This window comes from Homo sapiens, chromosome 7 (genome assembly GCF_000001405.40).
Source record: "Homo sapiens chromosome 7, GRCh38.p14 Primary Assembly".
Classification (NCBI taxonomy): domain Eukaryota; kingdom Metazoa; phylum Chordata; class Mammalia; order Primates; family Hominidae; genus Homo; species Homo sapiens.
In genome coordinates this window covers 107,174,323-107,200,830 of record NC_000007.14, presented here as the reverse complement: position 1 = coordinate 107,200,830, position 26,508 = coordinate 107,174,323, and the positions used below count along the sequence as shown (strand labels likewise).

The 26,508-nt window shown below is 37.1% G+C and overlaps 1 protein-coding gene across 7 annotated transcripts in view; it reads right to left on the bottom strand.

Moving 5' to 3' along the window:
- Nucleotides 1-26,508, bottom strand: part of HBP1 (HMG-box transcription factor 1) — a 33,520-nt gene that overhangs the window by 1,692 nt on the left and 5,320 nt on the right. For 4 of the 7 annotated variants that reach the window (NM_001439013.1, NM_001439012.1, XM_024446713.2 and 1 more), the window contains 10 exons: nucleotides 26,086-26,383; nucleotides 20,769-20,952; nucleotides 18,230-18,458; nucleotides 14,889-15,030; nucleotides 14,359-14,470; nucleotides 14,150-14,262; nucleotides 11,383-11,539; nucleotides 10,514-10,658; nucleotides 4,680-4,997; nucleotides 530-671 (listed from right to left, as the gene is read on the bottom strand). In NM_001439013.1, coding sequence (NP_001425942.1) covers nucleotides 530-671; nucleotides 4,680-4,997; nucleotides 10,514-10,658; nucleotides 11,383-11,539; nucleotides 14,150-14,262; nucleotides 14,359-14,470; nucleotides 14,889-15,030; nucleotides 18,230-18,458; nucleotides 20,769-20,937 — 1,527 coding nt within the window. In that variant the 5' untranslated portion in view covers nucleotides 20,938-20,952; nucleotides 26,086-26,383. Of the gene's footprint in view, nucleotides 1-529; nucleotides 672-4,679; nucleotides 4,998-10,513; nucleotides 10,659-11,382; nucleotides 11,540-14,149; nucleotides 14,263-14,358; nucleotides 14,471-14,888; nucleotides 15,031-18,229; nucleotides 18,459-20,768; nucleotides 20,953-26,085; nucleotides 26,384-26,508 lie in introns of those variants that run through there. The other 3 variants (NM_012257.4, NM_001244262.2, XM_047420190.1) reach the window with 2 other exon arrangements.

Below are 26,508 nucleotides of genomic sequence, written 5' to 3'. Positions count from 1 at the left end.
CATATAGACTTGTTTGCCACCATTCCTGGGCCTATTTCTTCTCCTCCTTGAAATTTTTCAATCTAGAAATTCTGTGCCAATGGCACAAGTCCCCATGAATGACAGCTAACATACCCCAACACCTCCAGCCTTATTGGTCCCTCACCAATTAAGGAAAAAAAGCTGTTGAGACAATCCCAAAATTATTAGAGAAATTTTCTACTGTGATATTAATGGATTAATAATGCTTATCTTTCAACCCAACTAGAAACACTGCATTCCAAAATTATTTTTCCAACTCAATGTTTAGAACAAACATTCTTTTGAAGTTTGCCTGAGATTTCGACTTGCCATGCTATGAGAGTAAATGACCCTTGAGGAAAGGCAGTCTTTATATGATGATGTGATAACATTATTAGGTTTTGAAGTATAAAAATGCTAGAGACAGCATCAACACAACCTCTTAAAGGTTGTAACAACTGCTCCAACATGCCAGTACACCTGCACGGATAAGGCAAGATAATTTTAAACACTATTTATTGAAACATACTGAATTGGTTCTTTTCCTCTTCCAACAGTCAGGATTTAAACGTTTCTGTTCTTCAGCCAAAGCCTTTGCTTCTAATGTGTACATTCTTCTCTCTTCATTCTTCATTTTCTTCCACCTGTCACCAAGGATCACACTTATGGCTCTGTAAAATAAATATTTACACAATGCTGAAAGCACACATTTTTCATAAATCTCATGTCAAGTGCTGCTACTTCAGGAGAAAAATGTGAAGTTAAAAAAGATGAAAATCTTGTCTATCACAGAGATGGGAAAAGGTCAAGGCCATAATGCTCATTTCCAGTAAAATCCCGAATCAAATAATCCATTGTTCCGTATCAGCAGCATGAAGTATTCAACTTGTACTAAAAGCTAATCTATTTGTGCCCGTAACCTATCAAATAGTTTTGATAAAGGTCTTTTCTCATTCAATCATAGTGGAAGTGTAGAATTAACTATGCATATCTTACTATTTCTCTCTCAAGAGAAAACCAAATAAACCTTTAGACAGTATTTTTTATTACTTGAGAAAACTGGATAAACTCAAAATGCTAAGAAGTTAAACTGATAAGACTACATCATGACAAATATTAGAAGCTGTTTTCTCCTGTTTGTTACTCTGCTATGAAACCTACTAAAACAGTCTCACCTAGGCACACAGATGTAAACCACCTTCCTTCTATGAAGAGCTTTCAGCCATTCACTTCATGACACCCATATAAAACATAAGGTCCTGGAAATTTTGCACAAAGCACATCAAGTGATTTTTATACTGACTGATATGGAAGCCAAAGCAACAGGCATTTGTGCCTTCGAACAGTAAACCACAGAAGCTCTCCTACAAGTGTATTTGTCTTTTTATCCAATAACTTAATGCAGTTAAACATTGTGCTGCATTTTCCTTAATTATAAACCAATTTTTGGGCTGGACGTTGTGACTCATGCCTGTAATCCCAGCACTTTTGGAGGCCAAGGCGGGCAGATCACTTGAGGCCACGAGTTCAAGACCAGCCTGGCCGACATGGTGAAACCCCGTCACCCCATCTCTACTATTTGCCAGGTGTGATGGCACACGCCTGTAATCACAGCTACTGGGGAGGCTGAGGCACTAGAATCGCCTGAACCCGGGAGGCAGAGGTTGCAGTGAGCCGATATCCCGCCACTGCACTCCAGCCTGGGGAACAGAATGAGACTCTGTCTCAAAAATAAATAATAAAATGATAACCAATTTTTATATTCCATTTGCAGAACCCATTAAAAAAAAAACTTTTAGTCTTGGGTTACAGGTACCATATAATGGTTGACACATTTAAACAAATCAATAAATATTCACACCATCTCAGTCATCCACAGTAGGAAAGAACATGAGATGTTTTTGAAGGGGGTGGCACTTGCGAAACATTTATTATTTTAAGCTAAAAGATGACAGGTAATGAAATGTACACAATGCTGTAGACTATACTCTGTGTTCCCTAACAAATGTAAAATATACACATCTAAAGATTATTTCTGCAGTGAATGTTACATCCAGATGGACATTTATAGCAACTTAAAATGAGCTACATGTCTCTGACCTGTTCTAGTCTCCATTCCCTCAGAATTTGCCTCCAAATGAGAATTTATTCATTGAATTAAGGCAGCTTTATTAGAGACAGTGAAGAATCCAATTTCAAAATTATGATTTATCCCATTCAGTTTAGAGATAGGTGATATCTGATGGCCCTCAATGTTAGATGATTGATTACCAGTATATCACATGGGAGCAATGCTAAAATGCAAAGAAAATACCAGATTTGGCTGGGCACGGTGGCTCACATATGTAATCCCAGCACTTTGGGAGGCAGAGGTGGGCAGATCACCTGAGATCAGGAGTTCGAGACCAGCCTAGCCAACAAGGTGAAACCCCATCTCTACTAAAACTACAAAAAATTAGCCAGGTGTGGTGGTGCATGCCTATAGTTCAAGCTGCTCAGAGGCTGAGGCAGGAGAATCACTTCAACCTAGGAGGCAGCAGTTGCAATGAGCCGAGATCACACCACTGGCACTACAGCCTGCGTGACAGAGCAAGATTCCATCTCATAAAAAAAAAAAAGATTTTTGAGCAATAAAGGGTATAACCTGATTTAGAGATCCTATAAAAAGATCAGAAAACAAAACATCTAAAGATAAAATGAGATTTACACCCCTTATAATCAGGATAGTCCAGTTCCCCAGAATTGGAAATAAATACAGAATGCATCCCAGCTGACATTCTCAACTACTGGCGGGGAAGAGACTTACAGGGACGTGAATCCTGTTTCTAGATGTCAAAGGATATGTTTAATAATTAAATACCAGAAGTGTACAAAAAGAGAAATGCAGCATGTACCTGTCACTAAATCTAAGGCCAGTCATTTTCTCAGGAAAAACAAATTGAGCAAGGGGAAAGGTACAAATTACTCTTAAAATGTCTTTAAAGCCTAAAAGTCAGTCACAGAAGTAGACTTCCAAACTAACTTTTTTTAAAAAACACACTTAAACCCACTCTTTTTACTGAAGAAATGGATTACAACTTAAAGATTAATTGCCAAAAGTCACACAAATGACTGACAGATCCAAGAGTTAAAACATTTCAATAGTATTAAAAAGCCTCTTAGCGCTGGGCCCGTGGCTCATGCCTGTAATCCCAGCATTTTGGGAGGCCAAGGTGAGCGGATCACTTGAGCTCAGGAGTTTGAGACCAGCCTGGCCAACATAGTGAAACCCCATGTCTACTAAATATGCAAAAAATTAGCTGGGTGTAGTGGCGCATGCCCGTAATCCCAGCTACTCGGGTGGCTGAGGCAGGAGAATCGCTTGAACCCACAAGGCAGAAGTTGCAGTGAGCCAAGATCCTGCCACTACACTCCAGCCTGGATGACAGTGAGACTCCGCCTCAAACAAACAAAAAAAGACTCTTAGAATTCTTGACTCACTAATTACACACTTATGTGTCTAAAGGAACTAGGACAAAGCTATTCATTACTGTGGTAACACAGTAATGACTTTTCTCATGATATCAAGATAAAGCAAATGGTAGTTTTGATCCTCAGGGTACAAAGACTGGAAGAAGACAGCGTTATTAATATATGGAGAACTTGACTGGTTTGAGAGGGATTCAGCAGTAGAGGACTCGGAGATGAGTAAGGGTACAGGCAACAGAGTAGGAAGGACTTGAGTTGATTTTTATTTCCAGCTTCTACTGAGGACAGCTCTTAAGTTCACCGTTTTGACAACTCTGGCAGCTTGCTACAAATTGCCAGTTCCCCGTACAATCCATAGTTGACTCAGGTGAAAAGCTGTTCCATAAAGATAGAACTGTTAATTGTTAGAACCGTGTCCTCCAACAGATAAATAACATGATTTTAAAAGGTAGATCTTGCACTTTGGGAGGCAGGCAGATGGCTTGAACCCAGGAGTTTGAGACCAGCCTGGGCAACATGGCACAACCCTATCTCTACAAAAAATACAAAAATTAACTGGGTGTGGTGGCATGTGCCTGTAATCCCAGCCATTCAGGAAGCTGAGGTGGGAGGATTGAGCCTGGGAGATACAGGCTACAGTGAGTTGCGCCGCTGTACTGCAGCCTGGGCTATGGCACAAATAATAAAAGGTAGATCCTTACTACTAAGGTAGATAACCTAATTGTCTATGTATTATAAAATAATTACATATAACCCTAAAAATTCCACTTAAACTTTTTACTTTAAAGTCAACCTGGCCGGGCACAGTGGCTCACGCCTGTAATCACGGCACTTTAGGAGGCCAAGGTGGGTGGATCACGAGGTCAGGAGTTCGAGATCAGCCTGGCCAACATGGTGAAACCCTGTCTCTACTAAAAATACAAAAAATTAGCCAGGTATGGTGGTGGGCGCCTGTAGTCTCAGCTACTTGAGAGGCTGAGGCAGGATAATCACTTGAACCTGGAAGGCGGAGGTTGCAGTGAGCTGAGATCGTACCACTGGACTCCAGCTTGGGTGACACAGCGAGACTCCGTCTCAAAAACAAACAAAAAAGTCAACCTAAGAGTTGAATAAAAGCTATTAAAGAATAAGTTTACTTAACTATTCCAGTTACCATGAACCGTATTGAAGTGTTACTCATTTATTGTAATCAGAATTATCACTATTTTTACCTGTTATCTTTCCCTGGATACATCTGAGTATATTCAACTCTGTATTTTTTGGCAAAAAGCATGAAGGCATTCATTGGTCTTTTGCACTTATTAGGAGAAGTGGCACTCACAGTCCCTGAGCTGTGGTTTTTGACAGCTTTAGCATACAAAGAATTGGAAGAGAGCTGTGATGATCCAGGTGAGCCACAGTTTTTACTGAATCCAGATCTTGCAAAGTCTTGACCACCAGGTCCTCCACAAGACAAAGATGCACGACGCTGGCGAGCCATACTACTTAACACATAAACTGCAGAAGAATCCATAGGTGTGAAGTCATAGCTATAAAATTAAAAAAAATAATAATATTTTAATTCAATTTTGAATTCTCTGATTTCTAAAAAGCAGGTTAAAAAAAAAAAAAAGAAAACATCTGATTGGAAATTTCAGTGCATTTCCCCCTATATCATGTTACCAACACTAACAACTTTTGCCACTGATAGTTGCTTATAAAATGAAATCTGTATATGTGCTAACTGAAATTAATTTTTTTAAAAAACCTCTGCAGATAATACAAAAGCTTAAAAAAGACTTTGAACCCCCCAAAGGAATGTTATAATCAGCATACTTTATTCATAGCAAGTAACTCCTCCAAATCCTACACAACCCACTTATTCTTACTTTAAATTCATTTCTGGACAAATGTGACAATATGGTTTCTTGGCCTATAGGCACCCAGACCTAGAAAATTAAAATGGAGTGGCAGGCAACATACCAGGCCTAAGGACTACTATAGAAAACAAATGGTTGGGAAAGGCAGTGAAAAGCTGTTAAATGTGGCTAAAGGAACTTAAGGACAGGCCTGGTGGCTCACGCCTGTAATCCCAACAGTTTGGGAGGCCGAGGTGGGTGGATCACCTGAGGTCAGGAGTTTAAGACCAGCCTGGGCAACATGGTGAAACCCCATCTCTACCAAAAATACAAAAATCAGCTAGGCGTGGCAGCACATGCCTGTAATCCCAGCTATTCGGGTGACTGAGGCAGGAGAATCGCTTGAACCAGGGAGGCAGATCACAGCACTGCACTCCAACTGGGCAACAGAGTGAGACTCCGTCTCAAAAAAAATAAAAAACAAATAAAGGAACTTAAAATGCCCAGTAATCTGGGTCATTTGTTTAGGTAAAGAGAGCCATACATACATCAGTCTCCCGAAAGGCCATCCATGACCTATAACATAGCCTAATAACATAAAGTTCATTGTAAAAACCTGCCTTTGTCAGGAAAGGCCACATTTTGTTCTGTATGTTCAGTTTACATAGACATGGAAATAAGCTAAAGAATTCTCTTTTGTTCCAGCATTAACTCTCTTTCTGCCTATAGTACTTTTCTATCTTCTTGGCAGGAAACCTTTTATTCAGCTTCTAATCTGAACCTAGCTCCTACTTCCTTCCCTGAAACAGAAATTCCGGTAATACATCAAAATAGTTTAATATTAGCTACAGGAATACCATCTACCTAAAGGTAAAACATGAGATTACAAAATTCTAAAGATAGATGGAAACAGCCAAAGGAATGAGGGCGGTCCATGCCACTGACTACACACAGTAAATGACTTCTACCACTTATCAAGCACACAATGTCTTTTTTCTGAAAGTATTGCATGAAATAAATGTACTTAAACTATGACTCCAAAATTACCTCATGAATGCTTAGCAATCAGTATTACGTCAGGAAAACAATGTCTGCTTTCTAGGTTTGCAGTTTTTGTAAGATATCTTCAGCCCCTCCCATACATAATTTAGAAAAATAGCAAACTTCAGCACTGACACAAAATTACCCATCTCTACTGATGGAAAATGATTACAATTTAAAATACTAAAAGATACTGGGTAAGCTAATTACTAAAATTTGAAAACTCCACCATCTAGTGGCACAAATATAACTTATCATCTACTTCCATTATGGATACAACTTAAATCAGTTTTAAATATTCAGTCACAAAATTCAATGACTAACATTACTGCAGCAGTAATGACATAGAGTATCTTTAAAAACAGCTTCATCTTTTGCTATACTACCTTAGGTAAGCATTCATTCTCTTCACTAAAGCACCTGTACCCAAATGTGCCTTTCACAGCTCTACTTTGTGTACATGCCATTCCTTAAGCTTAGAATGCCCATTCTCACTTCACTGTCTAATCATTAGTCTTAATGGCAAACTCCACAATAATGTAGTGCCTATTAACCATGTCACATATATTAACTTATTTAATCCTTCCAATATTATCCCCATTCTACAGATTTTTTTAAAGGAGCCACAGAAATATTAATTTACTCAAGCTTCCATAGCAAATCAATTGCAGAGCCAGGATTTGAATCCAGGCAGTCCAGATCGAGCTCATGTTCCTATCAGGCTACACTGCCTCTCAATCAGCGTGTACATCTACTGTATACATTTACTAATCCATTTCCTTCTCTAGATTGGAAGCAAAGAGGTATGGCCATTCTTAACTCATTTTTTAATCAATTCTGAATAACATAATAATGGAAAATTTTAACTGAGTGCAAATTCCAGCTAGTAATATGACCTTGGGCAAGTTAAATAAACCCTGTAGCCTCAGTTTACTTATCTGTAAAATAAATCTATGCTATGCAGTGGTGCCAAAAAGAACAATAAACATAAGACACAGGGCAGAGGCTGGCACAGTGTATTTTGCCATTAGGAGTATCTATTATTGTAGAAGTATCTTAGGTGAGTAGCTAGAGAACTCAAAATTTGGAATCTTTACAAGATATGGGCTTGAATCCTAATTCTGATACTAACTGCCTTTGTTTTGGGCATGTTCCTTAACCTCTCTCAACTTTACTTCTCTCTGTAAAATGAGGATATAATCTACAAATAGGGTAATTAATATTAAATAAATTAACATTATATATATAGTAGGCACTCAAGTTTGTTAAATCATATTACCTGAACAGAAATGTCAACTTCAAAGAGTCAAAACTGACTGTTTTAAACCCGCCTGAGGCCTAGAAGGTTGGCCTCAATTCTCAATGTTTCAGAATGGGCTACTTACAACAGAACCTTGAATTATGTATGAGAGCTCATCAACTGATTGCTGACTTCTGATTCTTCCTGAGCTAGAAACTACTCACATGTCCTCTGTAAACCATGACCCGAGAATTTGCTTGGAGCAGTCCAACTTGGACTTTTTCCTCTTCTTACCTCTTTCTCTTCTTGCCCTCCCCCTAGGCCAGGCATCATCTCCCTTAACCAGTCTAATCCACAATGAAAATAAAGTCACTTTCAGCTTCTCAATTTTTTCCTGGTTTCTCCATGATGATACCACCCATTTCCACTCCTTTGCAGGGTGGGTGCTCCTGCTGTTATATTGAAGTCACTCAACAGTAAAATGAGACCAATGACTAACATCATCTTGGGAGTGATTATTATTCAGTGAGATCAAATGGTAAGAATTTGCTATCTCAGAAAAGCAGGAATTAGGCAGGCAAGTTTTCCCTTTTACTTTAAAAAAGTTTGGTGCTATGTAATAATATGTAAACTTTACATATATTTGTAAGTTATGAAGCATACAAATAAATGAGTGAACCCACAATCCAAATTAAGAATAATATTTCCAGTATCACTAAGTTCCATATTTGCCACCCCAGAAATAACCACTCTCCTGAATGTTAATCATTCTTTTTCAATAATTTTATTATGAAAATATTACTCATAAATACAACATATAAATACTACAGTAGCATTAGTTTTATTAATATCTTTCTTAATATATAAGATACAGTGTTTCATTATGCAGAAATGACTGCTATCCTTTCAAAAGTCTACTTACAAGGTTGACCCTTGACTAATTTCTAGAACTTGGATTTTGAGGGGTCCCATCATTCCCACAACTGAGAAGAGTAGTTTACTGTGCCTAGACTGGATATACAAACAACACAGTTTACTCTGAATGCCTGCTTTCCTTTTGGAAGTTTGGATTTTGTTATGTGCCAAGCAGAAGAAACCTACGTGACTGCTCTCAATAAAAACCCTAGGTGCCAAGTGCGCCTAACAAGCTTCCCTGGGAGACGACATTTCATATATGTTGTCACAGCCCACTGCTGGGGAATAAAACATGCCCTTAATTCCACTGGGAGAGGATCCCTGGAAGCCTGGCTTCCCTCAGACTTCACCCCACATCTTTTCCCTTTCCCAATTTTGCTTTGTATTAGTATTTTTTTGCCATAATAAGTCACAGCCATGAGCACAACTATGTGCAGAGTCTTGTGAATTCTCTGAGCAAATCATCAAACCTGGGGGCTAGTCTTTAGGGACCCCTGACATAATTATATAATGTGTATTACAAACCATATATAAGGGTTATTTTATTTATTTCTAAGGAACATGATTCCATAAAATAGACTCATACTGTATATTTCCAAGACTTATTTTTACTTAACATTGTTTTAAAAATTGATCCATGTTTTAAAGTTTGTAGCTAAGGTTCATTCATTTTCCACTAATTCCACTATATGATTATATCACACTTCATGGATTCACTCTCCAGTTAATAAGTATTGATACTGTTTCCACATTTTTGCTATCATGAGTAATACAGCTACAAACTTACTTGCACCATCTCCTTGAGCATGACTACAAGAATTTACTTCTCTAGAATATATATAAAAGAGGAATGAAACTGCTAATACTCACCTTTACAAGATAAAGCCAAATTATCTTCCAAAATTTTTCTATCAGGTTACAGTCTCACCAAAACATAGGAGTTATCATTAATCTATATATCCTAAGTATCAGTCCTTAAAATTTTGACTCATTTTTCTAGTTTTTCAAAAAAGAGTGTATATGAGGGATGTAATCAAACAGCATTAAGAGCATAAGCTTGTAGACATTTATCGAGCATGTGGCTTGTGTCAGGCCCTATGCAATTTGCTTTTTTAATAATAGTTTCACTCATCCTCATGATATATAAAACATACTAATTAAACTGAATGAAATAAAATCTACAGGCCAGCAGGGACTCTTGAGAATTCTCTACTTAGTGCCAGTACATGCCTATGGATTTGATAATTATCTTAAAGAAAGAATGAGTCTTTAAATCCCAGATACCTACACACAGACTTTCTCTGGGTTCCTTCTAGGAGCAAGGTGGCCAATTGTTCCAGTTTGTCTAGGACTGAGGGGTTTCCTGAAAGCTAGACTTTCAGTGCAAAAACCAGGAAAGTCCCATATAAATGAAGATAGCTGGCCAACCTTCTGGAGTCAGGACACATGGGTTCTTGTCCTTTTCTGCCACTTACTAGCAACGTGATCTCAGGAATAACCACTTCCCTCTCTAAGCCTTTCTAGATGTGAAGTTTAGGCTATTTTCTACTATTTGTTAAACCATGCAACTAATGCCCTTGGTCAAAATGAGTATGAAACAAAGATACAGTTAACTATTATATCAAGAAAAATACAGTTAACTACAAAAAACACAAGAGATTTATAAGCTGTTTAAGAACAACTGGCCAGATATCACAACTTTTTAAATGTAACTATCAAAGCTGAACCATTAAACTCTTGGTCATGTAACATGTGATATTCTTCCTAATCTAATCCTAAATGTTTTATAAACTCAATTTTCCTATATGACAACTACACGCAAAACTCTCTGGTAACTATTATACTTTAATTACCTAATATGTTTTCATGTCATACTTTCCTCTTAATAATTCTTTTATAATTCTCAAATCTTTAAAGACTGAACTTCCTAAATATCTGACTTAACCATCATTAGGGAAATGAAGGGCAAACTTTAAGAGGAAAATAAAACAAAGAATTAATCCAATATTACCTTTTAAATGTATCAAAAACACCTGAATCATCAAAATTAATGGCATCGGGGTGTCCAGGAGGTAGACATACATCGCCAATATGAACTTCACAACATGGAATGCCATGCTGTACCACAGTCAAGCTTGGATAAAATGATGACCAACCTAAAGTTAAACAATGTTGCATAAAGGATGAGGACTCACAGAAAGCACCCTACTTTAGAACAGACATATCATTTCTATATCTTAAAAATAAAATGTTATTGCTAAGTCTCAAGAGATTCTCTAACACAAGTCATGTATCTTTACAATAAAGTACTAGATAAGTATTTCCTTTCAGCAATGTAAAAGCCCTCCAAAACTAGCTTATTGTTCAGCATTTTATTATATATAGAGCTCCTCTATCAATCAGCACTTCCATCCGTCTACAATGACAATGAGCACTTCCATCAGTCTACAATGACAATAAGTGATAAATGACTGAGACCATGAAATAGTCTCTGAATTATAAAATCATCTTTAACATGGTGTTACTGTAATAAGGCTCTGAAGAGTGACTCAGGTTTATATCATATTTGGTAACTCTTAATGAAAATGTGATTACTAGATCACTACATTACCCAAACTATACCAAGATAATAGAAAGCTTATTATACTATGCTACATGAATCTAAAAATTTCTCATACAGGAAATAAAGTTCCACCTGACTGCTAAGATACTTACGCACCATTAGGTATTATTATAAGCATTCCCTATGGTAGTTTTTTATTTAGTTTGAAAGACGTTTTCCCCTCAAATTTTTTCTTAATCATCAAAGCTACAGACATAATTACAGATTTAAGAAGCTTTGTTTAAAAAAAGTTACTACAAATGCAATTCAAGCCCTACCTTTATTTTTAACATAGAAAGGGTGGTCCAGCTTACACTCTACGGTAAGTAAACCATCTTCTACTGTACCAGGATCAAAAGTCAACTTCAGTACAGACTCGCCAAATGATACACTTTCTTCATGTGATAACAACTTTAGACCATCAGAACCATAGCCCTGAAAATATATGCATAGCGTGAATGAATTGGAAATGTTCAATTCAAAACACTGTGAAGTTCCCATTACATGTAAGACTTTGTGGAAAAGGTAAAAATAACCAAGACAGGATCCCTGCCATTAAAGAGCTTTCAAACCCGGTAGTGAAGAAAGACACATATATAAATAACTAGACTGGAATAAGCACTTACACTCAAGTATAAATAATGGTGATGCAGTTTAATAAAGAGTTATTAATACCAAAAGAGAGATTAAGGAGGATTTTCAATTCCAACTGGAACTGAGATTTAAAAGAAGAATGCAATTTAGAAAGATGCCTTGCACCAAGAAATTTGTAATTAACAATAACTTTGGGGAGTGCTGAGTATTTGCTAAAAATACAAGGTGAGTTCAGATTTGGGGCAAATAAAGCTAATAAGGAGAGGCCAGTTAGTAAAGGCCTCTTAAAGACAGGCAAAGTACTGACAATTTTTGCTTAGAAGGTATTGGGAAATCAATCAAAGTGTTTTTATCAGCATGACTGTCAATTTTTAAGATGATGGTAAATAAGAAAAGACTCTACAGAAGAAAAGATCTCATATTCAATTACCTGAGGATATAATGAGAGACACCTATTATAGACCTGAATTGACAAGTGCAATAGTAATAGAACCAGAAAAATTTAAATTCAATGAATATTGAGCATTTAACACATGCCACATGGTAGGATCTGAAAATACAAACACTAACAAACATGATCCTTACCCTTACATTCACAGAAAAACAAAGGAGACAAACACGCCAAAAGCTTGCTATAGTATCCAATCATAATTACGCTAACGCATGAACAAGGTCATGAATAAGAGAGGATGACTTAAAAATCTTTACAGAATTAGAATCAAATGAATATAAATAAAGGGAAGAAATAGAATAGTAAAAGACAACTTCATGGTTTTGAATCTGGTAATCAAGAAGGATGATAATAACAACTTTGAAAGAATAGGAGGAAAGTAAGCCAAGAAGAGGAAGAAAAAGGTAAGGGCAGTTTTGGTCACACTAAGCTTAGTTCAAAGAACTGACTGATATTCATGCAGAGATGTCTAACATGCAGCTGGAAATGTGCAGGTGAAGGCTATAGACATAGATTGGCAAATAACGAAATTACAAAATCTTCCCATTCTCAGGGCTGCAGGAGACCTTAAAACTAATCCAATCCCATTTTTCAGATCAGGAAGCCAATACTCAGAGGGGTTAACAATCTGCCTAAGATCAGTAACACAGATAATTGCTGGAGAAGCTATAAAGAGAGCCCAGGTTTCCTGACTCCAAGTCCAGAGTGCATTCCACAGGACATGATGGAGGTGCTGCTGACATTATCAGGAGAGAGGAACTGGTGAAGAAAGTGAAGGGGGCAAAATCTTGTCTAATATTCAGCACTGCGGGCAGTCAAGTACCAGGCCTAAAAGACTGAGAATCAGGATGCTGCCATGCTACACAAATCAAGGGAAGACAATGTCAGGAACTAACCCAATGTGTCAAATGTTGTACAGATGTCAAACAGAACAAACGACGTCTCTCTTCCTAGAAATCAGAATAAAGCTAGTAACCTTTGAGACAATTTTTGTAGAGTAGTAGAGGCCAAAGTTAGACTATTGTGAACTTCACTAAAGTGAAGAGTAAAGCAAGGGGACGAAACTGAAGGCAGCCAAGACAGGACAATTTTTCTCAAGAGACTTAATAGTGAGACATAGCAGGATCAAAACAAGAATTTGTACAAGCACACTTCACATGCCCATTTTCTTGCCTACAGGAGAGATGGAGAAATTAAAAATTTCAAAGTGAAAGGTGTCAACTTTATCCTAATATTGCTCGCTACTGCTTTTGCTCATCGACTTAGAAAATGCTAGTTTTAGTAACTTAATATGAAACAACTTATATAAAGTAACTTAATATAATTGGCTTTCAATAATCTACAGGGGAATTAATCACTTTGTAGATTACCTAAGGCAAGGCTTTGGTTAGTTTATTTATTCATTACATATAAATATATATATATTTTTTGAGACAGAGTCTCACTGTGTTGCCAGGCTAGAGTGCAGTGGCGCAATCTTGGCTCACTGCAAGCTCTGCCTCCTGGGTTCACACCATTCTCCTGCCTCAGCCTCCCAAGTAGTTGGGACTACAGGCGCCCACCACCACGCCCAGCTAATTTTTTTGTATTTTTAGTAGAGGTGGGGTTTCACCGCGTTAGCCAGGATGGTCGCGATCTCCTGACCTCGTGATCCACCCGCCTCAGCCTCCCAAAGTGCTGGGATTACAGGCATGAGCCACTGCGCCCGACCTCATTACATATTTTTAATACCAGTTTTCCCCATTGTAAAGTGTATAAAACACGAAGAAGCACCAAGAAATATACTATTTCCCATCCAAGAAAGCATGTTAGAAAGGCAAACCTAAAATCATTGCTCCTCCCCATCAGACTAAGCAATGAGTGGTCATAAAAATGCTCTACCTAAAATGTACGATGTCATTTAAATATCAAAGTGAATGGAGGATATTTCTGTAGATTAACAATAAATCTTGTTTCATTTGGAAAGATTTTGAAAAATTTTTTAAGAATTTTAAATCAACCTTGTGAATGCCCATTTGAAGATCTTCCTCATTATCACAGCCTTCAGCTCTAGCAAAATCTTCAACATCTTGCCATTCCTTATTGCTTCCCTTATGAAAGCACAGTCGTGTGCCTAAGGTTTAGGTAGAAAACACGTATTAGACACGTGACTGTACTAGACAAGTAAGCTGTGGAAAATTCAAGGTTTTTGTTTGTTTGTTTGTTTTACCTTTCAAAAAACAGTGCCAGACAGTTGAAGGCCAGGAATTGCACCATCCCAAATCATCATCATCTGACAGGGAGGACATGCAGAAAATGCCAGATTCTGACTCACTATTTGCCTATGGAGAAAAATATTATCAACTTTTTTATTTGTTTTTAAAATATACCTTTTAATATCTGTTTTCATCCCACGTCTTTAGGCCCATGCTTATAGGTGGATAACTTAGTAATTCTAACCTTAGGGAAAATATAATGCCTTCAAAAACTGAGGGTTGTCAGGCTGTGGGAGAATTTGCTAAAAAAAAAAAAAAAAGAAAAAAAAAGAAAAAAAAGACACACACAAAACAAAGTTTTTGGAAGCTTTAGTTATACGCACATTCCCATTAATAATAAGCTTTCCTAACACATAGCAGAGCTGTATATAAAATCAAATCCAGATCACTAACAGAACAGTGAGACTACTTCCTATGAGGAATGTTAATGTACTTCAACTGTTGTACAAACTTTGTAAAAGTTTAACCTCATAAATAAACTTACCCTTTCGTGTCTTACTGGTGTTTCCTCCTTCCAATGGTGATGAGGGAAGGCTGGTTCACTCTTCGAAGAAGAGGACACTGGTGGAGGGCGTGCATAGGAATGTAAACTTTTGCTAGTGGCTATGATGTGTACAGGAGATGATCTAAAATAAAGCAACAGTTTCAACCATAAGCATAGGTCCTTAAAGTAGATCTTTCCTATTAATGAAAGAACTTCATATTTAAAACGCCAATGTTATTACATTGAACACATTTATGGTAAACACTAGTAAAGACAGCAAGATTTCATTTTATAATTATATTCCTTAACTCCTTATCCAAACCCTCCTCACACATTTTAGACATCGTTTTTTTCAGATTTGACAATATATTTTAAACTACGACTATGGTTTCATTTATTTATCCCATTCATTTTTCTATCAATACATATACATGTGTATATTTCGTTTGTGAATGATAATACCCCCTCTAATGCAGGGCGTCCTATCCATTTCTTTCTTCTACTTTGATGTACTCAGTAAGTCTCAGTATGAAGACAGCATTTAAGCTTAGTGTAACCAACTCTGAACTCTTTATCTACCAACCACATATCACTGGGCAGATACAAGAACTACCTTAAGCAAAAATGCTTACACTTTTTATAGCAGAGAGCAGCCTATCCACCCTCCTTGTAACTGGACACTATTTCTTGTTTTCTAATACAAACTTGCTGAAAAGCAACTACATATAAGGTCTAGTTATTTTTTCTCCTCAAAGATCACCTTAAAAAAAAAACTTTATCCCTTGCCCTCTTTTCTTCCCCTCAAAAGTCTCTTTTACCAGACAATGCTCCCTTTAGAGTATATGGAGCTCCCAGGAGCATACCCAGATCCTTCCCTCACAAACAGACCAGATATTCATGGGTGGGGTAACAGAAAGAAACAAGCCTATAGAGGATGATGAATGATGTGTATGGACTCAGCAGTCTGGAAAGGAAGCAGAGAGGAAGACAGCCAGGTGGAGGAGGGAAAACCATCTGAAGGTAAGGTCCCAAATCAGGATAATTGTCTGAGATGCCAAATAGAGATCTGGTCCTTAACAGAAAAAGTTTATGCATGTCTGTACTAATACTCTTTAAAAAGGAGAGGAAGGGCCGGGTGCAGTGGCTCATGCCTGTAATCCCACCCAGCACTTTGGGAGGCCAAGGCAAGCGGATCACGAGGTCAGGAGATGGAGACCATCCTGGCTAACACAGTGAAACCCCATCTCTACTTAAAATACAAAAAACCAGCCAGGCATGGTGGTGGGTGCCTGCAGTCCCAGCTACTCGGGAGGCTGAGGCAGGAGAATGGCGTGAACCCGGAAGGCGGAGCTTGCAGTGAGCCGAGATTGCACCACTGCACTCGAGCCTGGGCGACAGAGCAAGACTCCGTCTCAAAAAAACAAAAACAAAAAAGAGAGAAAGGACATCTTTCCAATTTTTCCCTTATTCCCTGAGAATTTGTATTAGCCCTTCAATTTCTACCTTATCCTCATTAACATTTTTCATTTTACCTTTCCAGAAATTACTTTTACATAAGGATCTATACTTTCATGTTCACATCACTCCTTAAATCGAAAGGCCCTCAGATTTCCATGCATTGTAGCATACTCTCCAATTTTTGATTTCAAATTATATGCTGAATGTTTCATCTTTTGCCCAAAAACTGCCCATCCTGTTATTACACATTTAGATATATATGAAGTATCAGAGAATGGCCAAACTGCTAAATATTCCTTTTGTTCATTCCTGACTCCCTAATTTTAAAAAGTGAGTTTTATCAGTTCTTCTGTTTAACCATTTAAAACAGAAGTAACAAAAAGTAAAAATAAATAAAAATGAAGGGAACAATGTGATATTCTAAAATGTATATGGCCTAAATACTCTGTGAAAATTAACATGCTAAACACGTCCAAACACTAACAGCATTGATTTCTTCATCTCTCTCTCTATTCAGGGGTAATATAAATTTTTACCTGTCCTCAACTCCTTAACTATAGACTTCAGATATCAAAGCTCAGTAACACAGTTTAACACTCAACAATAAGCTGCATGAGCAGACAGTGTTAGGAGGTAGGCCAGACAACAGAGCATTACTCAAAATGCTGGACAGAATAATACATCCTCAGGGAGATACTCCTTTCCTTATGTCTTATGTTTTTATTTACACTGATTTTCTTCTGAAGGGTTTACTCACTTTCCATAAACTGTTATTATTAATCCTATGACTCTGCTGTAAAAAGTGAAAAAAAAGTATCTCTAGAGAAAGAAAAAAAAAATCCAATAGTTAAATCAGGTTTTTTTTTAAAAATAAATAAATAAAAGAATTTTTAGCTTTTTGACTATTAAGATTACAATGAAAACTAGGACTATAAAGGAAATAACAACTCTGAAAGGAAGTTTTCTTTCCTGTGGAAATGAACACGGAATTAAACTGAAGTTAATTAAATTCAATTTGCTCTAGTCAAGATCAATATCCTGCTAAATGTAAGAAAAGCAGCACAACTTAATGGGTTACAAGAAAAGTGAGATTTCATACCTAATAAGTTTATTCTTTAGCAATGCATTACACTCAAGAGCACTAACAAAATTTACAGTTATTCCTACATTACCTAGTATAAAACTCTGGTCTATCGTTTTCCACTCACAGGTGTGCAAATATGGGCATTTCTCTCCCTTATAAACTGTCATATTTATCCATTTCTTTTCAGGGATAAATAATGAAGTGTTTTCCACTTAGGTCTCCCTAGGCATATTAGCTGGAAGCTTCCGTAATTTCATAGCACAACCACTCATTTTCTTAAACTCTGTCTGGATATATGAAACAGTGATTTTTACCAATGGGAACCCACTTTTGTAAGTTTAAGATTTTAATATTAGCAAATTTTAGAATTAGCAAACAGGCAAATAATGTAAGGCCACATAAACTATGGAAGAAATAAACCTAGACCAAAAGGAACCCAACTAAAGGTTGATAAAATTTAAAATATAATCTTGATTACAACTCTGCTTCCTTAGAGAAATACAATTTTCATTTCTATATGTAGAAATGTATAGTAAAAGTATTTCATGGTCTAATTTATTTTAAACATTTACAAATTTTTTTACTCTATGGTTCTCTTTATCACCTTTATCTAATTCTCAAAATATGAAATCATGGTAGTGAGTGAAATAAGTCTTTGATCATTAGATAAGGAGCTTAATTCTAATGACTTAAATTCTAATAATTTAAAGTATTACTACTTTTAAACTAGAAAAATTTTTAAATAAAACCTTTGTGTAATGATAGAATGTTTCAATAAAAATATAATAAATGCTCCTACCTATTGTAAAATGAGCACTGCATCAGTGGACTTTGTGGACTGGTCGCGATATTTGCCAATTCTGTTAGCCAGTCCACCTCATTTTCACGGTAAGTAGTTTCTGGTATGTCTGAGGTATTTTGGTTCCAAGATGATCTTGGGTATTCTTGATGTGAAACATCTGAACTCAGCTGGTACATGCCAGATTGGGTAGGATCACTTTGAACTGCCTGAAGTTCAGGAAGGTCATCTGCAAATAAGCACACTCAAAATCATAAAAAGGAAATTACTAATACAAGGAACAATATTATAACTGCAGTTAAAAGAGAAGTCCTCAATTTTAGCTAATTAATTTTGAGAGAGGAAAATCATAAATTTAACATTCTGTTCACAGACTGGAAAAACATGGTTTGGTTTGTGTTTTCTGCTTCTTATTCCCCCTAGTGTTTTGTACCTCACCTAGGAGTGATCCATATGCCACTGAGATATTTTTACATTAACAAGTTAATGAAGAAAAAGGCATTTTATGTGTGCAATATGGACTTATTACTCACATACTTTAATAACCTGTTATACAGACTATAAACAATAATTTCCATAATGATAATATAGATCACATAAATATTTAGCTACTACTTACACAACTCTGTGTTAAAGTATTTCTTTTTACTAATAAATTCTGAACTTGTTAATATTTACTGGTTATTTATCGGTTATTTTTTCCTATAAGTGCATTCCTAAAAGGCAATTCATGATACCCTTTCAGCTCCCCATAAGATGACTGGAACTATTACCCAGCTACCACTCATGCACACACCAAGCACTATAAGGAACATGAATTCCAAAATACTGAATTCTTAAAAAAAATTATATATATATTCTTTTAAAAAATCATATATATGTCTGTATGTATGTGTGTATGTAGTAGGGAAGAAAAAGCATCTTGAAGGCTTAAAAAAAAAAACTCTCCACGAAACACATACCTACAAACTCCACAAACCTATTGGGTCCCTTAAATATACAAGTCAAGAAAATTTCTAGTCTCCTAAATGTCACTATAAAAGTATGTATAACTCCTATTCAGGCAAATATTCCAGAATAGTCTACTAAAACCGAAATGTCCTATCTTAAAAAAAAAAAAATTTTTTTTTGAGATAGGGTCTTACTCTGTTGCCCAGGCTGGAGTGCAGTGGTACAATTATAGCTCACTGCAGCCTTGGACCCCTGGGCTCAAATGATCCTCACGCCTCTGCCTCTCAAGTAGCTAGGACTACAGGCATGTACCCACCATGCCCAGCTAATTTTTAAAGAAAATTTTTGTAGAGATGATATCTCACTACGTTGACCAGGCTGGTCCTGAACTCCTCCCACCTTGTCCTCCCAAAGTGCTGCGATTACTAGCGTGAACCATCATGCCAAGCCAAACTGAAATGTTTTAATTAGAAGCACTGACTCGGGATATCCATTTGTAAAAACTGACTTCTTTCATGGAGTCATGAAGGAGCCAAGGAGTTCTAGAACATCACACTAATTTAAAATAATTCTACCCTACAATTTTCATGCTGATATAGCTATTTCCTTTCCCTCACTGCCTTTGACCAACATTTATTTACTGCAAAGGGTTCATTTCTGTTTCTGAAGTTCAGGAAATTACTTTTTAAACGAAGTCATAGGTGGAAGGGGCATGTTATTTATACTCCCCTCGGCCCTAAGTTTCTGAGTTCCTCCTTAAACCAAAAACTGAGGAAGATCAACTACCTGATTAAAATGGCACTCCTTGCTCAAAAGTAACCAGTACTCAATAAATACTAGGGTCCAGAAAATCCTTGGCATTCAAGCAGGTTATGTGTCCCAAGAGCTTAAGATCTCTAAATTTCCAAACATTACCATAGTACATAATCTCCTCCATTTCATCATTTGTAAAATTAAGACAGCTGTATCTTCTCCCCAGGGTTTTTATAAACATGAAGGAAACCCCCATATATTAAATGGGGGCAAAGCCAAGCTGAAAAGCTGGGCAGCAAGCCAAGGTGACTCATTAGCTCCATACTCCTGAACACCAGCCTTGAAGCAATACAATTCAAAAACACACCTCAACAAACTTACACATTTCTAAAGGTCACATATCTCCAGGAGTAGTTTAGCAATAGTAACAACCATAAATGTCAGATCCTCAAGTTTCAAGGGTCCACTGTAATTTCCACATCATACCAGCAAATCTGCCACGAAGAGTGGCTAAGCATATTTTACTGAGCTCTCTCAAGTATATTTCAAAAGTAGCATCTTTCGAAAAGCCACGAGTGGGGTCCAATCTTTACACACAAAGTAAAGTAGTTTAATTTAACAATCTGTAAATGAGTGTCTACAATAACCATAAATAGCCCAACTCATGTTGGTTTTAAGTAGTATTTTAAAAGCAATAAAAGAATGCTGAAAATTCCTAATATACAAATACTTCATATCCCTTTCTAGCCAGTCAAGGTTGGTGGAGAAGCGGGCTAAGTAGAAAAATTTATCTGAATCTTAGTGAGATTTCTATATAACTTTTAATTTTGCTTACCAAGCTCCATGTGTTCATCACAGGAGTTATATCCAGGTGAAGATGGCAAATTCTCATTACACTGCAGCAACTCCAATGAGTCATTCATTCCTGAGGCTCTCTTGTCCATCACCAACAGGAGTTTCTGTACTGCATTAGGCATCTGATTTGTCTTCACTTCCCACACCATGTTATGGTGCTCTGACTTAAAATAAAAACGACATTAAGAAATGATGTCAAGCCATGCAATTTGGGCAGTACACAAACCTAAAATAAATCAGAGACATGACAATGTTGTTTTGTTTTTTTTTTGAGACATAGTCACACTCTGTCACCCAGACTGCAGTGCAGTGGCGTGATCTCGGCTCACTGCAAACTCCACCTCCTGGGTTCAAGCGATTCTCCCGCCTCAGCCACCTAAGTAGGGGGGATTACAGGCACATGCCACCACGCCGAGCTAATTTTTGTATTTTTAGTAGAGATGGGGTTTCGTCATGTTGGCCAGGCTGGTCTTGAACTCCTGACCTCAAGATATCCGCCCACCTGGGCCTCCCAGAGTGCTGGGATTACAGGCGTGAGCCACCACGCCCGGCCACAGTGTTAGATTTTAACTTAATCATACACTGCCATTTATAGCTCCCTCAAATCCTTTAGACCCGGATGACTCCTTAACATCTTGGCCTACAACTGAATACTCAGCACTAAATCACATTTCAATCCCAAAAGATTAATATCTTGAATTATAAAAAAAAGTCTTTTCTGCTGAGGAAAAATGGCATTGTATATACTTTTATTTAACCTAGTAACCGTCCTTTCAGATGCAAAAACTGAGACTAATAGGACTCTTTTTTTCACTTGTACCTTCAAATTCAAAAGGAAATTTAAAAACTTTCCTTAATAAAAGTTAAAAAAAACTGGAAGAATATTCTATTTTGTCCTTTTTTAAAGATTCTATTTTAATGTCTCTATTTACTGTGTTTTTTATTTTGTTTCTTCATTCTGAAAGTGAACTACTTCAGCACACTTAAAAAAATACATTTTCTTTTTTTTGAGACGGAGTCTCGCTCTGTCACCCAGGCTGGAGTGCAGTGGCACAATCTCGGCTCACTGCAACCTCTGCCTCCTGGGTTCAAGCGATTCTCCTGCCTAACCCTCCCTAGTAGCTGGGATTACAGGCGCGTGCCACCACACCCAGCTAATTTTTTGTATTTTTAGTAAAGACAGGGTTTCACCATGTTGGCCAGGCTGGTCTCAAACTCCTGATCTCAGGTGATCCACCCGCCTCGGCCTCCCAAAGTGCTGGGATTACAGGCATGAGCCACCGCACCTGGCCAAAAAAAGTACATTTTCTAAATAACATTTCAGAGTTTCTTAAAATGGTCATATATTACAATTCTCATAAAAATAAAAATGTTCTTAGGTTTTCTTAATGAAAATTTGGGACCTAGCCATAATAAAAGATACCTGTCATTCTGAATAGGATATTATGTATAGAAAGATGAATAATCATCATGGGAAATTTAAACAACTAGTAAATCTACCTGCAAGCCTACAAAATTATCACAAGGAAGAGAATATGGGTTAATAAATTTAAATAATTTCTCAGCAAAATCCAACAACTAAATATTATTATGAAAGGAAAATGTGGTTGTCTCTTTTATTTCACCCTTTGGACAACGATCGAATTAGTTCTTTATTTAACATAAGCAACAATGGTAAGATTTTTCTGATTTCTCAGGCTCTAGTCTAAATTCCATTTTTTAAAAAAGTTCTAGCCTGATGCAGTAGCTCATGCCTATAGTTCCAGCTACTTAGGGTAGACTGAAGGGGGACGACAACTTCAGCCTATGCGTTGGAATCCAGCCTGGGCAATGTAGCAAGACCCCCCCTCTTAAAGAAAAAGTTCTAATGAGTGAATATGAAATACACAAAAAAATCCTGACTTTTGCAACAACATATTTTTCCTCAAAATAAAGCAATAAAATATATTGCTGTTAAAAGTCACTGAAAGTCAAGCACCCAGTGCAGGCTGATCAAAACTGCACTGAAAAAATGTTAATCACTTAATATTTATAAGCTTTCTAAGTCATGATGTTAATTACCAATAAACACCGATGACACTGATAAATTTCTTTCTACGAAGACTTTTTCATGATCTTTTTGGTTTTGAAATGTATTCCTGACTAGAAAATACAATCACTGTGAAAAAAAATGGGAAAAAAAATTTTTTTGGAAAAAAAGGAATATGATTACTTCTAACCCCACCAACCAGACTTAGATATTTTTACATTTTGATGTATTACAATCCAATTTCTTCTTCATGTACACATATACTCAATCATGTTTTTCTTCATATTTCATATTATAGTTTGATACCTTTTGGCCTAATATAAGTTCATAAGCATTTTCCTATGTTATTTTTTCAAAGCTCTAAATGGTTAAATATACATCAGAAGGATGTACCGAAATTCACTTATCCCCTCTACTACTGAATATGCTATTCCCAGTTTCTTCACTCTTCTAAACACTGAATTTATATTCTTATTTTTTAAAAGTATTTGCTTACATCTGATTATTTTAGATTGCTAGATACAGCGTTCTTGACACATAGCCCAACTGCATGCATATTGCCTTACTGTATGTCTAATATTCTATTTTGGATGCTATCTGCCTATATCCCTCAAAAATAACCCTTAGCCTGGGCACTGCTTTAGAGCCTTGCTCAATACTGACTATACAATTTGCTACTATTATGGTGTAGCAAAAAGGGCACTGGGTTAGATGTAAGGAAACGGGTTTTGATTCCAACTTGATCACTTACCAAATATATGACCTAAGTGACTGAGTTTCTCTTCATCTGTAAAATAGAGCTAATGATACCTGCCCTACTCTCCTCTGATAGTAGTTGTGAAGATGAAATGAAATAGTGAAAAAAGTGTAAAATGACGTCTTTTGAAATTTTTTTATCCCCAGACATAGGGCAATATTAAACATACTTTGGGTCTGTAATGTCCTAAATAGAACAGCTACTGAAAATACATAATTAACAGGTGGAAACCAGATAGCTATTCAGTTTCAACAGTCTCCTCCCTAGGAGATATTATGACAAGTCATCCAGCACATCTCCATAAAAATCATGTATCATGCCATTACTTCAAGCCCCTAAAAGATGAAATTTGGAAGAAATTAACGCTTCTCCAGTTTAGTACAATGTACTGATCACAATCAGTCTTAGCATATAGTTACAGCAAATATGCTAGGATATAACAATTTCCCCCACAGAACTAGCGACTAGAGAAAATGTGTAACACAAATCTATTTCTCAAGTATGAAATCACGATTTTAAGCCTCCACTCTCTCCCTGAAAAAAAAAAAAAAAAAAATGGAGCAAATTTAATTTCATCAGTGATTCTCTACTCTGTGGCACACGAAATCATACATATGCTTAAAAAAATGTTGTCCAGGCCCCATCCCCAGAGGATCTGATCTGTTTGGTGTGGGGTATGGCTTTGTGCACTAGTTTTTGTTTCCAGGTGCAGAATACTGAGATACACTGGGCTAAAAATGGTTGCTAAATTCCTACTTATTAAAAAAATCATTTATTTAATAAATACTATGTACAGGGCATTGTATTAGTTGCAATGCTGGATCTCACTAATGAACAATTCATCATGAGTCTGACTTTAGTGGAAAGATATAAGCAAATGACCATAGTTCTACAGAGCAGGACTTGGCTATGAATGGGTTAAAAGAAAAGAAGGGGCTAGATCAGTGGTTCACGCCTGTAATCCCAGCACTTTGGGAAGCCGAGGAGGGCGGATCACGAGGTCAGGAGTTCCAGACCAGCCTGACCAACATGGTGAAACTCAGTCTCTACTAAAAATACAAGAATTAGCCAGGTATGGTGGCACGCGCCTGTAATCCAACCTACTCAGCAACCTGAGGCAGGAGAATCGCTTGAACCCGGGAGACAGAGGTTGCAGTGAGCCGAGATCGCACCACTGCACTACAGCTTGGGCAACAGAGCGAGACTCCATTTCCGAAAAAAAAAAATGAAAAAAGAAAAAAAGCCGGGTGCGGTGGCTCACGCCTGTAATCCCAGCACTTTGGAAGGCTGAGGCGGGCAGATCACGAGGTCTGGGGATAGAGACCATCCTGGCTAACATGGTGAAACCCTGTCTCTACTAAAAATACAAAAAATTAGCCAGGCATGGTGGCGGGCGCCTGTAGTCCCAGCTACTCGGGAGGCTGAGGCAGGAGAATGGCGTGAACCTGGGAGGCAGAGCTTGCAGTGAGCTGGGATTGCGCCACTGCATTCCAGCCTGGGCGACAGAGCAAGACTCCGTCTCAAAAAAAAAAAAAAAAAAGAAGAGAGGGAGGTCTCCCAATGAGAGAAACTCACATGAGTAAACTCATATAGCTGGCAAAGTCCTAGTGAGATCAGAATATAGAATCTAGTTTTACCACAAAGTAGGATGGCCTTGTGTGTCATGTGATCATGAACACTGAGGCTATACTACTACTACTACTACTATATGGAAAGGTAGTCTAGGATCAGAGTCTTCAATTGTAGTTTAGGAAAACTATTTATTTATTTAGAGACAAGAATAGGGGCTCTGAAATCAGGCTGCCTGAGTTTAAATACCAGATTTGCCACTTACTAGCTATGTACCCTAAATAATTTACTTAAAATCTTCATGCCTTGTTTATAAAATGGCAATAAAAGTACCTACCTCACAGGCTGCTACAAAAACTCAGTGAGATCATGTAAAATGCTCAGAATAGAGCCTAACACAAAGCAAACCTTCAATGTACAGTGGCTAGTGTTATGATTAGCAATTATCAGACAATGAAGAACCACTGATGATTTTTTTTTTTAAAAGAGGTCTGACATGATCAGAACTATACTTTAAAACAGTCTCTTTGAGTCTATGGACAAAATCATACTGAAATACTGTATGAGTATGCAGGAACACCTATAATATTTTAAGGAGGGTATTTTTTTTTTTAAAGAGAGCACTCACATTCCCAGTCTCTATGAAAGCCACCCGTCTCCAGCTTCCTTTGCAATGGTTCTCAGTGCAGATTCCTTATTTATTAACTCTTAAGAGAGAAACTAGTCATACTATGTGAGTTCTTTAAACACCTAATATTAACAGTTTAGATAGGAGATTTTAACTCTTTCCATAGAAGTATTTCTGGCATCTTAAGTATACAGAATATAATTTAACCTATTTTGATAACTAAAAATCCTTATGAATATCCGTACTATGCTTCACATACAGATGTGAGCTGCACAGTCAACCTTATCTGAACTGAAAACATTTCCCATTTTTACCTTTATTATGAAATTTAGAAGCTGCACTACACAGGTATCTCTCTTCAGAGCTATCCTCTGTGTATGAACAGTGCTGTTCTTGGGGTCCACAGAAGCACAGCTGCAGTCTGTCTTGTCTTCCCCCTCCCTCTGCAGAGCTCTTTGGTTTCCTCATTCTTTCCAGCTAGAACTTTTTTCTTCCCTACAGCAGGTCCTGCAGTTTCCAACATTCACCAAGTATAGTACACTAACGTCTCTTTGCAACTTCTATCATTTCTTCAGCACTTTGTCTTAGTTATCAACCACCATCCCAAAACTCCTTAAATGAAGTTGGAAAAAGACATTATTTTAATTTCAAAACAGAGCTACCTATAAATAACCAAAAGAACCAAATAAATATTTACTGAATATAAGTTCTATGTGTTCACACCTCTCATTGCTCAA